The 17,368-nt window shown below is 39.6% G+C and overlaps 1 pseudogene; it reads right to left on the bottom strand.

Annotated features, from left to right (window-relative positions):
- On the bottom strand, window positions 12,599–14,393 carry ACTBP2 (ACTB pseudogene 2; annotated as a pseudogene).

The raw sequence follows: 17,368 nt of genomic DNA, 5'->3' as shown, positions 1-17,368 counted from the left end.
TATAAATGAACACTTTGGCATTTGGGATTGTTCAATGGTCCCATGTAAGTTGGATCATGTGAGTCCATCCATCTGAGCTTTGTCAGTTCTTGATGTTCTGACAAACTTGAGTTTCTGCGCCTAGAGAGCTGAGGACCAAATCCTGGACTAAGGGGGCTCTTTCAAGGTAATGCCCTAGCAGCCCTACATGAGGCAGCCAAATCGCCTATCTGCTATCTTCATCTTGCTTAATTTAAATGCAATGATAATAAGTTGTTGGGATGTTCTGTCAGTTATTAAGTTTTCATCTCTCACATCCACACTTATCCTTCAATAGTCTGCAATGTGATGCTAGGTTTAGAATTCTAAAATACACATTTTTACTTTGTCAAGAGGCTGCAATGCTAGAGGAACAAAAACAGACTCCTTCCTGTGGGCTTCCTGAATGTTTCCTGTTCCTGTGGGCATCACACTAGCATCAGTTCTTTATTCCAACAGCTTCAGTTCCTTTCTGTGGCAGCAGCTTAATTCTGTTTGGGGTTTTTCCTCTATATTGCAGGATCAAATTCATTGTACCCTCTCAGAGGAACCAGCATAAGCTGCCCGATGTCCTCACTTCAGAATTCTGCTTCCTCCTCTGAGTTCCTAAATGCAAATAATTTTAACTTCTTTCCTTTGTTCCCCAATTCTAGGAGTAGTAAATGCTTCTTGCAGTTGCTACCTTTGTGACATCTTTTTTTTTCCCTTTCATTTACTTTGTTAACAACTTTATACCTAGATAAGGATTATATTCTCTCTGTTCAAATAACTGATGTGGTTTCCGTCTTGAATGATACAGATGCATATATGAGCTGCAATTTTTCTGCTTTCTTTCATTCACATTGGCAAAAAGATATTTATTCATGTCTAAGGATCTGTTTATGATTCACAAAAACAGAAACAATATGAATTCACATCAAACAATTTGTCAAAATATAAGAAAACTGAAAGAAATAACAACAGAGCAGCACATAGTGTAGATATTTGAGGTTTTTTTCCCATTCTCCATAACTGAGCAGTTTGCTCAAAGTGCTCCTATATCTTTTTCTCAGTTCTGGAAGCCAATAAATCCCAAAATAACACCATTACAGTAAAACAAGCTGCATAGCCCAAAGATGGATTTACTGGAATGATGTCAAAGGATTGTTTCCATGGTATTGATTGCTTACTTTAGAACTTTCCTAGACCTGAGATGTCGAAAGGTTATTATTTTGGCTTGAGGAGAGTCTTGAAAGGATATTCTAGGGGAAAAGAGCATGGCCTGACAGCTGCTTACTTCTGGGAGGATTCTGGGGCTGCCTTCAGGACAAAGGAGGGGCAACTTGAGATATATTTTGAGCAGCTAGAAGCCAAAGGTGTCTCCAAGAGAAGTAACAATTTAGCTGCTATGTCAAATAAATAAGCTAGTCCTGGGGTTTAAATCAAAATTTGAATTGAAAAATTGTGTAATTATTCAAGGTTAGATTGTTGTATATTGCTAAGTGTTGTACATGCTTTGGGTTTATTTAGGATGTCCCAGTTCAGAAAGGATGTCCCAGTTTACCCTATTACCTGATCATCTGCTTATGGCACAAATTTCTTTCATTTTCTCTGAAATCTGGAACCTCCCTCCATCATCACAGGTATAGGTTTTGTAGATGTAGCTCAGGACAGAGTTTATGGAAATAATTGTCTGTTTTTGTGCTTGCGAGTTAAGCCAAGCATCACTTATTTCAGGGAAATTGCTCCTTTCACCTTCTTCTTCTAGAGGGTGTTTCAACATTAATAATACAGAGAAGTAACAAGATAATCTTAAGCCTTTCTGAGTACTATGATTACAAGATATGCAATCCACTCACCACCCACACACTCCTCTTTCCCAAGCAGTGCACTGAAGCTATTTGAAGCAAATGACATTGTGTATCCAAAACATTTAATTCCTGGTTCCTTGCTACAGTCTTAACATTACCACTAATAAAACCTCTGTTCTAATCTTTGTATTGCCTCATTCTCACAGCCCTCTTAATTACCTGAGATTTTTTGTACTGTAAATTAACTCCCAAGTCACCAGATGCCTAGACATCATTTTCTACAAACGACAGTATACTTCAAATGACAACTGTAACATTAATGTGGGAGGATAAAAAGACTTATGTGGTTTTAACGAATTTGCATTTTATTTAAAGTGGTAAATAGTAACTCTGAGTAGACTGTCAATGGTTAGGTAAGTGTATTACAATCCCTAGAGCAAACACACACACATACAAAGAGACAATAGATAGAAGTGACAATAGATAAATTGAAATAAAATACCAAAGAATATTGAAATAATCCAAATAAAGGCAAGAAACGGGGAAACAGAGAAACCAAAAATGAAGGGGACATACAGAAAACAAATAATAAAATGACTGACCTAAATCCAACTATATCAAAAGTTACATTACATGTAAATGTCTAAACATACCAAATAAAAACAGAGATTGTCAGATTGGTTAAACAAACAAGCAAACAGATAAAGAAAACCACAATATATGCTATCTATAAGCAGCTCACTTCAGATAGATTAAAGTAAAAGAATAGGGAGAAAAATGTACCATTCAAACACTAATCAAACGACATATGGAGTGACTACACTGACATAAAACAAAGTAGACTTCAGAACAAATAAAATTACCATGGGAGACATTACAAGTTGGTAAAAGAGTTAATTTACCAAGAAGACATTACAATCCTAAATGTAAATGCACGTAACAACAGAGCTTCAAAATACACAAAGCAAAAGCTGATAGAACTGAAAAGAGAAGGAGACATACCATAACTACAGATATGGTAGGAGACTTCAATACTCCTCTGTTGGTAATAGATAGAAATTATAGACAGAAATTCAGTAAAGATATAAAAAATTGACCAATACCATAACTAATTGTATCTAAGTGACATTTTATAGAACATAGCAACAAGTAACAGCAAAATACACATTTTTTGCAAGTACACATGGAACTTTCACCAAGATAGGCTATCTTCTGGGCCTTAACACATTAAAAATAATCGAAATTATAGAAAGTATGTTCTCTTGTATCAGAATTAAATTAAAAATCAATCACAGAAAGTTTTCTGGAAAATCCCAAAATAGTACATTTCTAAATAACCCATGAGTCAAAGAGGAAGTCTCAAGGGAAATTAGAAAATACTTTGGACTGAAAGAAAATGAAAATATAACATACGAAAATTTGTGGAGTTCAGCTAAGTCTGTGCTTAGAAGGAAATTTGTAGTGTTAAATGCTTATATTAGAAAAGAAAAAGGTTCTAAATCAATAATCTAAGCTTCCATCTTAGGAAACCCGTAAAAGAAAACAAATTAAATACAAAAGAAGCAAAAGGAAAAAAGCTATTAAAGTAATAAATGAGTTTAGCAACATCACAGGATACAAGGTCAATAAACAAAGATAAGAGCAGAAGTCAATGAAATGGAAAACAGAAAAAAATAGAGGAAAATCAGTGAAACCAAAAGCTGGCTGTTTAGAAAGTTCAATAAACTTGATAAACATTTAGCCAGACTGACCAAGAATAAAAAAAGAAAAGACATCAAAAACAGGTATTCAAACAAACACATGTACATGAATGTTTATAGCTATTCACATGTACTATTCACAATACCAAAAGGGGGCAACGACCTAAATGTCCATTAACTGATGAATGGATAAACAAAATGTGGTATATCCATACAATAGAATATTATTCAGGCACAAAAAAGAATGAAGTACTGGTACCTGTTACAACATGGATGAACCTCGAAAACATTATGCATAGTGAAAGAAGACAGACACAAAAAGTCAAATACTGTATGATTCCATTTATATTAAATATCCAGAAAAACTAAATCCATACAGACTGAAAGTAGACTACTGGTTGCCAAAATTTAAAAGGTACCGAGTTTCCTTTTGGTATGATGAAAATGTTTCAGAAGTAGATAGAGGTAACAACTGCCCAACACTGTGAATGTATGAAATGCCACTGAATTGTATATTTTAAAGTGATTAGTGGTTAATTTTATATTACATGAATTTTACATCAGTAAAAGAGAAATTGAGCAGCCGCCCCGTCTGGGAGGTGAGGGGCGCCTCTGCCCGGCCGCCCCTACTGGGAAGTGAGGAGCCCCTCTGCCCGGCCAGCCGCCCCGTCCGGGAGGGAGGTGGGGGGGGTCAGCCCCCCCGCCCGGCCAGCCGCCCCGTCCGGGAGGGAGGTGGGGGGGGGTCAGCCCCCCTGCCCGGCCAGCCGCCCCGTCCGGGAGGTGAGGGGCGCCTCTGCCCGGCCGCCCCTACTGGGAAGTGAGGAGCCCCTCTGCCCGGCCACCACCCCGTCTGGGAGGTGTGCCCAACAGCTCATCGAGAACGGGCCAGGATGACAATGGCGGCTTTGTGGAATAGAAAGGCGGGAAAGGTGGGGAAAAGATTGAGAAATCGGATGGTTGCCGTGTCTGTGTAGAAAGAAGTAGACATGGGAGACTTTTCATTTTGTTCTGCACTAAGAAAAATTCTTCTGCCTTGGGATCCTGTTGATCTGTGACCTTACCCCCAACCCTGTGCTCTCTGAAACATGTGCTGTGTCCACTCAGGGTTAAATGGATTAAGGGCGGTGCAAGATGTGCTTTGTTAAACAGATGCTTGAAGGCAGCATGCTCCTTAAGAGTCATCACCAATCCCTAATCTCAAGTAATCAGGGACACAAACACTGCGGAAGGCCGCAGGGTCCTCTGCCTAGGAAAACCAGAGACCTTTGTTCACTTGTTTATCTGCTGACCTTCCCTCCACTATTGTCCCATGACCCTGCCAAATCCCCCTCTGTGAGAAACACCCAAGAATTATCAATAAAAAAATAAATTAAAAAAAAAAAAAAGAGAAATTGAGACAGAGACAGTGACGGATAGATATGTGTATATCCATTCAATTTCAAGAAGAAATAGATAACTTGAATTGTCTTATACCTAGTAAAGCAGTTGAATGGCTACATATATCCATGGGGGTGTGTGTGTGTGTGTGTGTGTGTGTGTGTATCTATGCAATTCAGGCACAAGAAAGAAGTACTGACACATGTTACAACATGGATAAACCTTGTAAACATTATGCATAGTGAAAGAAGCCAGACACAAAAGATCAAATACTGTATGATTCCATTTATATGAAACATCCAGAATAAGTAAATCCACACAGGCAGAATGTACACTAGTGGTTGCCAGAGGCTTAAAAGGTACAGAGTTTACACACACACACACACACACACACACGGCGGGAGTGTGAGGGTGGTGAGAGAAATAGAGAGAGGGCACTAATTACCAATATCAGGAAGAAGAGCTAGCACTAAATACCCTATAGAAATTAGAAGAGAATACTACAAACTAACCATAATTCAATGAAGTAGATAAAACGGGCAAATTCTTTGAAAGACACAAACAACCAAAATGCACTCAAGAAGAAACAGATAACTTGAATTGTCTTATACCTAGTAAAGAAATTGAATTTGCAGTTTAAAATCTTCCAACAAAAAAATTCTGGGTCCAGATAGTTACACTGGTGAAGTCTACCAAACACTTAAGTGGGAAATTTTCTCCTGACTTGTAATTCTATTTAAACTTTTTTGTTTCTTTGTTTGTTTGTTTGTTTTCAGAAAATAGAAGATGAGGGAACAGTTATTTTGTTCAGCTAGTATTAACTCAATACCAGAAGCAGGAAAAGAAAATACAAGAAAAGAAAGCTACAGACCAATATCCCTCAACAACATATTAGAAAATAAGCCTGGGTACAGTGGCTCACACCTGTAATCCTAGTACTTTGGGAGGCCGAGGCAGGCAGATCACCTGAGATCAGGAGTTCAAGACCAGCCTAACCAACATAGTAAAACCCGGTCTCTACTAAAAATACAAAAATTAGCCCAGTGGGGTGGCATACACCTGTAATCCTAACTACTTGGGAGACTGAGGCATGAGAATCACTTGAATCTGGAGACGGAGGTTGCAGTGAGCCAAGATTGTGTCACTGCACTCCAGCCTGGGCGATGGAGTGAGACTCTGTCAAATAATAGTAATAGTAATGAGATCTGGGAATATAAAAAAAGATACTATATCATGGCCAAGTAATGTTTATTTCAGGAATGTAAGGCAGATTCAATGATTTGAAAATGAATCAATGTAATTCACCAAATTAACAAAGTAGAAAATGTCTTGATCATCTTAATAGATGCAGAAGAAGAATTTGACAAAATTCAACATAAATTTGTGATAAAAACTCTCAGAAGTCTAGGAATAAAAAGGAATTTCCTTAGCCTGATGAAAGTGCCTATAAAATATCTATGGTTAGCATCTTAATGTTAAAATATAACTTCTGCATGTTAAAATAAAAAACAGATGTCCAATATTACTATTCTTATTCAACACTATATTGGGAGTTCTAGCCAGTATAATAAGGCAAGAAAAAGAAATAAAAGGCATACAGATTAGAAAGGAGAAAATAAATTGTCTCTATTTGCAGATGACACAATTATCTATGTAGAAAATCTCAATGAATCTACCAAAAAGTTCCTAGAACTAATAAATGAGTTTGGCAAGATCACAGAATACCAGACCAATACATAAAAATCAACTGAATTTTTATATATGGGCAATGAATAACTCAAAATAAAAGATTTAAATACAATGTTGCTTATGATAGCACACACACACAAAGGGAATACCTATAAATCTAACAAAATATGTGCAGGATGTGTTGCTAAAAAATATAAAATACGGATGAAAGAAGTCAAAGCAGACCCAAATAAACGGAGACATATACTATGTTCATGAATTGTAAGACTCAACATTGTTAATAATGTCAATTCTCCCCAAACCGATCTATAGATTTTATGCAATCCTAATCAAAATCCCAGCAGGAATTTTTGTAGATATCAACAGGCTGATTCTAAAATTTACATGTAAAGCCCAATAAATTAGAATAGCCAAAAGAATTTATTTTGAAAAAGAACAAAGGGTTCAGACTACCTCATTTCAAGGCTTACTATAAAGCCACAGTAATCAAGGCAATGGGTTGATTAGCAAAGGCTGATGCAAGACATGCAAATTGCCACCTACCTACATATCTCCCTTTCAGTGCACCACACTGAATGCATTGAAATCAGTGATATCTTACATCCCAAAGCAGACCTGTGGCAGAGACTTCTAATTGTTACCAAATATCCATTGACCCTCTCTTATTTTTAGCGAGTCAAATTTATACATGGATTTTTTACTGTGAGAAGGTGGTGCCCCTAACCCATGAGCTGTTCAAGGGTCAAGTGTACAGAAAAGTTTAAAGAATTCAGGGCATTGCCTAACTGCCTCAGGTCTTCCCACCTTGATCATACCCTTTTGGCCTATTTAACCCCAAATCTATTTTCACCTTTATTTCTCTTCTTTCTCAACTCACTACCGCTCTCTCATTCTCTGTCAGTTCCTAGCTCTGTATTAAATTCATTTTCATTGTTATTCACCCTTTCCTGTCTTTGTGCCATTATATCCATTTCCAACTGGTTGCAAAAGGAAAAACAGAGGTAATGAAAGTTTCAAGAACACAATGTGTCCAGCTTAAGCAATTTACAACTGCCACTGGCAACTTGCCCCTTGTCTTGTTACTCTGAATCTTCCTTTTAAATGTTTCACAAAGTATTCAGACATCCGGCTCTTATCATTTTGTAACTGAGAAATACATTATATTCTAGAGAGACAATTTATCTTGAATGCTCTCTCCACTATTTTTTTTCCTGTTAGAACAGTTAAAACACAGTTGCTTCATTTGTGTGATAGTCAACCAAACCTCACCACCCATTTACAAAGCGGCATTTGTAAATCATTGATTTTTTTCATCTTTAGTTGTGGGAGTTAACTTTTTTTTTTCTTTTTTCTTTTTTGTGGAAACAAAGGCTAACTATCTTGCCCAGGCTGGTCTCAAACTCCTGGGCTCAAGCAATCCTCCTGCTTTGGCCTCCCAAAGTGCTGGGATTACAGGAGCCACCATGTCCAGCCTGGAAGTTAACTTTTATAAAGCAAAGAAAACAAAATTCCACCTTGTGTAACAGTGTGTATGACTTAAATTATGAATCAGCCTGTACTTGCAGCCACAAATTATTTAATATAAGTTAAGTAAAATTGCTTTCTGAGTGTTTATTCTCCAGTGATTTGGTGAAGACTAATTTCCATTTTCTAAATAAAAAACTGCACATGCTGATAAGCCCTTTTCTGTAATTTTATTGATTTTCATCTTTGTTTTCCTTCTTTATGAGAAACTCTTAGCATTTTACCTCTTAGGAATTTTCCTATCTGAATTTTTGCCTGTGCTAAAAGAAAAATATAGGCTGCATTGAGGCACTATTTTAAATATTGTTATAAATATTTTTTAATATACAATGTGCCCTTCAGAGTGGTGAAGGCTTACTTATATAGATTCTTCCTTATTTGAAAATAATGATGACTATCATTTATAAAATACTACATGATAGAAATTATTCATATTAGCATACCACTAGTCTTCCAGATGAAAAATGAAAAGTTAATACCTTTTCCAAAGTTACACAGCTAGCATTTAAACCTGATAGGCACAAACACATGATTTACACAGAATATTTTAAATGTATTCATTTGAAGAATCTATTACTATGGGAAATTGCCAATAAATCAAAAATGTGAGGATTCCTTTCCTTTACTGTTTGTAATAGAAGATCAACCTAGTAATATTCATATCTCTATAACCCTGATATACGGATAAGCAGTGGCTTGTATTAGAATCATTTGGTAATTCCCTGGAAAAAAATTTGCATCACAATATAATTTTATTAAAGGGCATCAATTTTGGATAAACAATTTTTTTCTTTGACTACTTGAGTAAAGATGATAATAATAATAATAGTTATAATTTATTGGGTATTTTTAATGAGCCAGGTATTGTGCTAAATCCTTTATGTACATTGCATATACACAACCACCACAACTCTGTGTAGAAGATATTCTATCTGGGTCCCAAATACCTGCTTTTAATCATTTCAGGAGAGTCATGGCCTGGCTGAATACCAAAGCACAAACACCAAAACAATTGAATAAAGAAAATGGGAATAAAGGTCAGATACACTGGCTCATGCCTGTAGTACCAGCACTTAGGGAGGCTGAAGCAGGAGGATCACTTGAGGCCAGGAGTTTGAAACCAGCCTGGACAACATAGTGAGATCCCATCTCTACATATAAAATGTTATTTTTTAAATTAGCTGGGTGTGGTTGCATGAGCCTGTAGTCTTAGCTACTCAGGAGGCTGAGGTGGAAGGAGTGATTGAGCCTAGGAATTCAAGGCTGCAGTGAGCTATGCTCATGCCACTGCACTCCAGCCTGGGTGTCAGACAGAGATTCTGTCTCTTAAAAGAAAAAAAAAAGCCATTAATTCCTAGTAACTTGGTGTCAAATAGATTCCCAGTTGTTGTACTGAACTCAATCAATATCTTTATTCAATTCTATTACTCTGATTTTTTTCTCTTTTTTTTGAGACAGAGTCTTGCTTTGTCACCCAGAATGGAGTGCACTAGTGCAAACATGGCTCACTGCAGCCTTGACCTCCTGGGCCCAAGCCATCCTCCTACCTCAGCCCTTCAAGTAGCTGGAACTACAGGTGCACACCTTCACGCCTGGCTAATTTTTGTATTTTTTGTAGAGACGGGGTTTCTCCATCTTGCCAGGGTGGTCTTGAACTTCTGAGCTTAGGTGATCCACCTGCCTTGACTTCCCAAAGTACTGAGATTACAGGTGTGAGCCACTGCGCCTGGCCACTCTGATTTCTTAATGTAGCTAAAAATCCAATGAGAATTTTTATCTAGTTTTGTCTACTTTAATCAGTTCTAAAGTTTCTAAATCATTTGGAAGTGTATAACCTGTACATTACAAGAATTCTTAAAATCTCACTTATATGATTAAGTGGTGATCACACGCACACATACATGTACAAAGAATATGGTAATAAAGAACGAGAAATAATTACAGTAATAATGATAATAACAATACAATAATTAAATATTAGGATAGTAATATTGGAATTGGAAGTTGTGCAAGTTGAAATGAAATTTCTGTCCTCAATTAAGAAGTAATAACTTTATATTACCTTAAAATATTAGAAGAAAAGCCATTTTACAAAGACTTCCTTCCCTTTGGCAAACTATTCTGCAGAATCCTAATAAGCTTTCACAGAAGATTGCTTATTATTCTTATTTTATTTACTTTACGTTTCTAAGCCAAGAAAAATTATGTGGGTCTTAAGTAGTTTTCCATAACAGAAAAGTGTTGGGAGATAATTATTTTTTTTAAAAAAGTGAATAATTAACATTTAAAATTTATATCAATGGATTTTTGTGAACCAGCACTTAAAGTTTTTTTTGGGTAATCTAGAAATATGTTGTCCAAAAATCCTCATCTTTTTTGTTGCATTTCCTATTAATACAAAAAAGAATATGTAATTAAAAATTGAAATTATTTCACACCTAAGAGACATATATCGTCTTGGAAGCAGTAAAAAGTCATAGATAGAATAAAAATAAAATAATCATAAAAATTTTGGTGAGAGTTTCAAATAGAACAGCCGTAAATAGTACATGATAAACATGTAAAAAGATTTTATCCATAACGTGCCATCCAAAAACACCTTTCAAGTCTCTCCTGATTGACCCTGAATGAAAATCTCATTTTAGGTGACAAAAAAAGGGTCATTAATGTTGCTCATGTATTTCAACATAAAAATGGAATGGAATCATTGACTACAGGTAGACATGTGCAAAACTACTCAAGATAAATATGCTGCTTTGAGGCTATACATTCACTCCAGTTTTGTCTGCCAGCTTGATTTTTGAATTGGGCACTCATGGATAAAGGATATGTGATCTGAAAAAATAGTGTGTGTCTTTTAAAAGTCAGTGTCATGTAATGTCATTTCTTTTGGCAAAATTTATGTTACACGGTGTTAGAGCATGGGCTGAGCTAATATAACATGATGCATTAAAAACTGCACATAATGATTGCTACATGTGTCAGAACAATGAATTGTTATATCAAATACCTGTTCAGCTGTAAATAAGGCCCTCTGTAAGTCACTGACAAAAAGATTATATTCTCTTGTTGCCGATGTATAATTCCTATTGTTTAAAATGTGCAGCTCTCCAACATCCATACTTTGTGACCTGTAGCCATTTAAGTTGTGTATTTAATACATACACACGTACAATAAGGACATGGCACATTACAAAAAGTCACAATTGGAGGTATTTTTGTTTTCAAAGGTATTTTTCCTCCAAAGAAGAGACATACACATGGAGCTCTAATGGATTCTGTATTACGTAGAAAATCCCTTTGGTTGCAAGTAACGGAAATCTCACAATCAGTAGCTTAAATAAATAAGATTTGTTTTTCTCCCATAAGGTGATTAGAGATAGGCAGTTGCAAGTTTTGGTTCAACAGCTCAATGATGTGAGGACGGGCATCTCTAAAATTTTGGTCTTCCTGTCATAAATGAAAGATGGATTTTTAAGCTCCAGTTTTTCCATCTATTTTCATGGAAGAAGTGGGACAGAGGCAGCTCCTCCTGGTATTCGTCCCTTTCATCAACAAATTCAACGCATTTCCAGCAGCCACCCACTTATTTCCACTTATGCCCAATTGCCCAGAATTATGCACCTGGATACCTCTAGCTACGGAAAGTTGAGGAAGTTGGCCCTGCAATGGAAGCAAGGAAGAAGAGTATTGGGAATGGCTATTGGATGAGCCAGTTAATACACTCTGCCATAGGTGCCAATAACAACTTATAAATAGGGTAGAGGCCGGGTGTGGTGGCTCACACCTGTAATCCCAGTACTTTGGGAGGCAGAGGCAGGCAGATCACCTGAGTTTGGGAGTTTGAGACCAGCCTGACCAACATGGAGAAACCTCATCTCTACTAAAAATACAAAATTAGCCAGGTGTGGTGACACATGCCTGTAATCCCAGCTACTTGGGAGGCTGAGGCAGGAGAATCTCCTGAAGTGGGGAGACGGAGGTTGCAGTGAGCCAAGATTGCATCATTGCACTCCAGCCTGGGCAACAAGAGTGAAACTCCATCTCAAAAATAATAAATAAATAAATAAATAACTAGGGTAGAAAGCACAGAATAAGGAAGGCTTTAAAAATGGTAAGCCCATATGGGAAAAAATATTATTTATTTTTTGAGACAGGGTCTCACTCTGTTGCCCAAGCTACAGTGCAGTGGGGTAATCTCAGCTCACTGCGGCCTCCACCTCCTGGGCTCAAGTGATCCTCCCACCTCAGCCTCCTGAGTAGCTGTGACTATACGCGTGTACCACCATGCCCAGCTAATTTTTGTACTTTTTTATAGAGAAGGGGTTTTGCCATGTTGCCCAGGCTGGTCTCAAACTCCTGGACTCAAGCCATCTGACTGCTGAGATTACAGGCATGAGCCACTGCACTGGGCCAGAAAAATATTTAATATTAACTTCTACCCCATACCATACACAAACATGAATTCTGGATGGAATGTAGATCTTTTTATGTGTGTGTGTGTGCACTTTTATTCAACTGGTCTCAAGTCAGTGCACAGGTAAGCCCTGGCTGCCTTCACCCACTCCCAGGGACACCAAAAGCCTTCATACATCTCAAGCTGGGGGACAAAAAAGGGGGGGGGGGCACGAAGGCTCATCATTCAAAATAAAAAAAATAAGAAAGTATTAAGGCGAAGATTAAAAAAATTTTGCATTCCATAATTTACACGAAAGCAATGCTATCACCTCCCCTGTGTGGACTCGGTAGACGACTGGGCCATTCTCCTTAGACAGAAGTGGGGTGGCTTTTAGGATGGCAAGGGACTTCCTGTAACAATGCATCCCATGATATTTGGAATGACTATTAAAAAAAAGAACAATGTACAATCAAAGTCCTCGGCCACACTGTAGAACTTTGGGGGATGCTCGCTCCAACCGACTGCTGTCACCTTCACTGTTCCAGTTTTTAAATCCTGAGTCAAGCCAAAAAAAACCAAAAAAACAAAACAAAACAAAAAAACAAATAAAGCCATGCCAATCTTATCTTGTTTCCTGCACAAGTTAGGTTTTGTCAAGAAAAGGTGTAACACAACTAAGTCACAGTCCGCCTAGAAGCATTTGCGGTGAACGATGGAGGGCCAGACTCCTCATACTCCTGCTTGCTGATCCACATCTGCTGGAAGGTGGACAGCGAGGCCAGGATGGAGCCTCCAATCCACACAGAGTACTTGCGCTCAGGAGGAGCAATGATCTTGATCTTCGTCCTGCTGGGCGCCAGGGCGGTAATCTCCTTCTGCATCCTGTCAGCAATGCCAGGGTACATAGTGGTGCCACCAGACAGCACTGTGCTGGTGTACAGGTCTTTGCGGATGTCCAAGTCACACTTCATGATGGAGTTGAAGGTAGTTTCGTGGATGCCACAGGACTCCATGCCCAGGAAGGAAGGCTGGAAGAGCGCCTCGGGGCAGCAGAACCACTCGTTGCCAATGGTGATGACCTGGCTGTTGGGCAGCTGGTAGCTCTTCTCCAGGGAGGAGCTGGAAGCCGCGGTAGCCATCTCCTGCTCGAAGTCCAGGACGAGGTAGCACAGCTTCTCCTTGATGTTACGCATGATTTCCCGCTCCGCGTGGTGATGAAGCTGTAGCGGCGCTCGGTGAGGATCTTCATGAGGTAGTCAGGTCCCGGCCAGCCAGGTCCAGAAGCAGGATGGCGTTGGGGAGGGCATACCCCTCGTAGATGGGCACAGTGTGGGTGACCCCATCACTGGAGTCCAACACGATGCCAGTGGTACGGCCAGAGGCGTACAGGGACAGCATAGTCTGGATGGCCAAGTACATGGCTGGGGTGTTGAAGGTCTCAAATATGATCTGGGTCATCTTCTTGCAGTTGGCCCTGGGGTTCAGGGGGGCCTCAAACAGCAGCATGGGTTGCTCCTCGGGAGCCACGCGCAGCTCATTGTAGAAGGTGTGGTGCCAGATCTTCTCCATGTCGTCCCAGTTGGTGACAATGCCGTGCTCAATGGGGTACTTCAGGGTGAGGATGCCTCTCTTGCTCTGGGCCTCGTCGCCCACATAGGAATCCTTCTGACCCATGCCCACCATCACGCCCTGGTGCCTGGGGTGCCCAACGATGGAGGGGAAGACTGCCCGGGCGGCATTGTCGCCCGTGAAGCTGGCCTTGCACATGCCGGAGCCGTTGTCAATGACGAGCGCGGTGATATCATCATCCATGGTGAGCTGGTGGCAGGTGTGGACTGGCAGTGGAGCAGCGAAGGCGAGGCTCTGTGCTCGCAAGGCGGATGCAGTCTCGGCGGTGGAATGTAGATCTAAATGTGAAAGTTAAAATAATAAAAATCTCTTTAAAATAAAACATAGGATAATATCTTCATAATCTTTGCTTGTAGATGAATATTTCTTAAATAGGATACAAAAAGCACTAACTATAAAGACAAAAATGTAGTAGCTAGACTACTAAAATCTAAATCTAAAACAGAAAACTTTTGTTCATCAAACACACTAATCAGAGAGTGAAAGGGGAAGCCACAGAGTTGTATTAGTTCCAGTTTCTGGCCGTTATAAATAGTGCTCCCATGAATATACTTGTATATGTCTTTTGGAAACATGTGTAAGCATTTGTGCTGGATACTTGGAGAATTTTTGGGTCATAGAGTATGCATATGCTCAGCTTCAGTAGACTCTACCACTGGTCAGCAGTAGCAGTAGCTAGATCAGCCTTCATAGAAGACAGCCCATTCATAATCCCTGTATTAGTTATCTATTGCCACATAACAAATTACCTCAAAAGTTACTGGCTAAAAACAAGAAATATTTATTATCTCATAGTTTCTGTGGGTCAGGAGTTTGGGTACCGTTAAGCTGGGTCCCTCTGCTTCAAGTTATCTCAAGAGACTGCAGTCAAGACGCAGTGTGGGGCTGTGGTCTCATCTGAAGACTCAACTCAGAGGGATTCTCTTCTAAGCTCAATCATGTTGTTGTTGGTAGGCCTTAGTTCCTCATCATGTGGGCCTCTTTACAGGGCTGCTTCATGACATAGCAACTGGCTACCCCCAGCATGAGCAACCCAGGAAAAAATGAGAAATAGCACCCATGATGGAAGCCCTTTTACTAACCTGATATCAGAAGTGATAATTGTCACTTCAGCCATATTCTATTTATCAAAATTAAGTTAATATGGAGAGGAGATTACACAAGGGCAGGAATGCCAGGAGACAGGAATCCTTGATGGACATCATACAGGCTGCCTACCACAGCCTGCACCCCTGCAGCTATGACTACTCTGTTCATAGACCAACACTGAGGTAGCTGGGAAGACAGGCTGCTTGACATCCATAGGACAAGTCATCCTGTCCACTTGGTTATTAAGTGTCTCCACAGAGGTAGATATTCTTCAGTGAGTATTAACAGGGGACACAAAAATCACATGCTTTATGTGCACTCCTGGCCTCTTCCCTAGATTTCCCTTTCTGTGATTGCAAGTTTTGTTTCTTTTAGGTCTTTGATTTCTAAGTCTCTCCTGGGGCCCAGGAGCATTTCTGGAGTTGTTCCTCAAAAAGTTAGCACTTCTCTACCACAGTGGGCATGGTCTATATGATACTCCCCTCTTAGGGTTTACCAGAATCTTCATAGGCAGTATCCTTACCCAACAGATACATCAGCATCATTGGATCTGCTGGGTCGTGGCAAGTGAGCTTGCACTGTAGCCTAGACTTGAAGCAGAGTCCACTCTTGATCTGTGTCCCATTCAAAGCTGGCAGCATTCTGAATTACTCAGTGAATGAGTTGGAACAATATTTTTCCAAGTGTAGTTACTACCCTACTTGTTCAGAAAGTGATTATGGGGCCAGGATTGAGAAATGGGTAAGTCAAACAGAGAAAGAGGAAAAGCCAATGCAAAGGTGGATTATTGAGTTTGCCCTTGCTACACATGACTGGTGCTTGATTCCACGAGATCATCTGAGGGCCTTATGGAATGCATCTTAGAGCCATCTGCTGTCTGCAGAATGAAAGGGGAGTCACTGATCCATAGCCTCCTGTTCCCCTATTCTCCTGTTTCCTGTCTCGTGGGTGCACATGGCTTGGGCCTGAAGTAAGGCGCTATCATGTTGTACTCATGCAAAGCCTGAAAGAGATTGGGTACCACTGCAGGGGCTCCAGTAAGAGGCAAGACTGAAAGAGTTTGAAAAGATGCACAAGTGGAAGGGAAGGAAGGGGATCTTTCTAGGTCTCTCAGGCATCTAGAGTTAATTATCAGAGATATTTCACAAAAATATACTTTTATCAATGATATTAATACTTCCTTATTTAAGTAATCTCTCCAGGGGTGTGTTCTGCGGTTGGCTACTTGGTTTTATTGAATAGAAATAAAATATCATGGTAACTGTACATTGAGTTCTGGAGCACTGCAGAAGGCTCCTTGCATACAGGTTGCTTCATAGTTCCAGGAGGATAAAAACATGACCAGTCTATTGTTTTTGTCAAAATTAGAAATCTATCTCAGTCCCACCCTTGATTTTTATAATATATACTGTGCATCTACTAGGCACTGGGCATTAAGCTTGATGCTAGGGGTACCAAAATGAATGTAATTTGGTCTCTAATCTCGAGGAGCTTGGAGTCTAGTGGGAAAGAATGGTGTGAGGGGATGGCAAGAACTGTGAGTTCACAGCCCAGTAAGTGTACGGGGAAAACACCTCTCAATTGTAAGGGAGTCTGTAGTGTTCTTTAATAAAATACAGTTGACCCTTGTACAACATAGGTTTGAACTGTGCAGGTCCACTCATATGTAGATTTTTTTCAATAACAGTAACACTGAGTAGAGCTGCCTCTCCTGCTTCCTTTTCCACCCACTCCAACTTCTTTCACCTCTATCAATCCCTCTTTTTCCTCCTCCTCAGCTTACTCAATGTGAAGACACAAGGATGAAGACCTGTGTGATGATGCATTTCCACTTAATGAATAGTAAATATATTTCCCTCTCTCTCTCTCTTTTTTTTTTTTTTTTTTTTTGAGACAGAGTCTTGGTCTGTCACCCCGGCTGGAGTGCAGTGGCGCGATCCTAGCTCACTGCAACCTCCGCCTTCCAGGTTCAAGCAATTCTCCTGCCTCAGCTTCCTGAATAGCTGGGATTATAGGTGCCCGCCACCATATCTGGCTGATTTTTGTATTTTTAGTAGAGATGGGGTTTTATCATGTTGGCCAGGCTGGTCTCGAACTCCTGACCCCAAGTGATCTGCCCACCCCAGCCTCCCAAAGTGCTGGGGTTACAGGTC

This window comes from Homo sapiens, chromosome 5 (genome assembly GCF_000001405.40).
Source record: "Homo sapiens chromosome 5, GRCh38.p14 Primary Assembly".
NCBI lineage: Eukaryota > Metazoa > Chordata > Mammalia > Primates > Hominidae > Homo > Homo sapiens.
The sequence above is the reverse complement of the archived record's forward strand: the minus strand, read 5'-3'. Positions and strand labels throughout refer to the sequence as shown.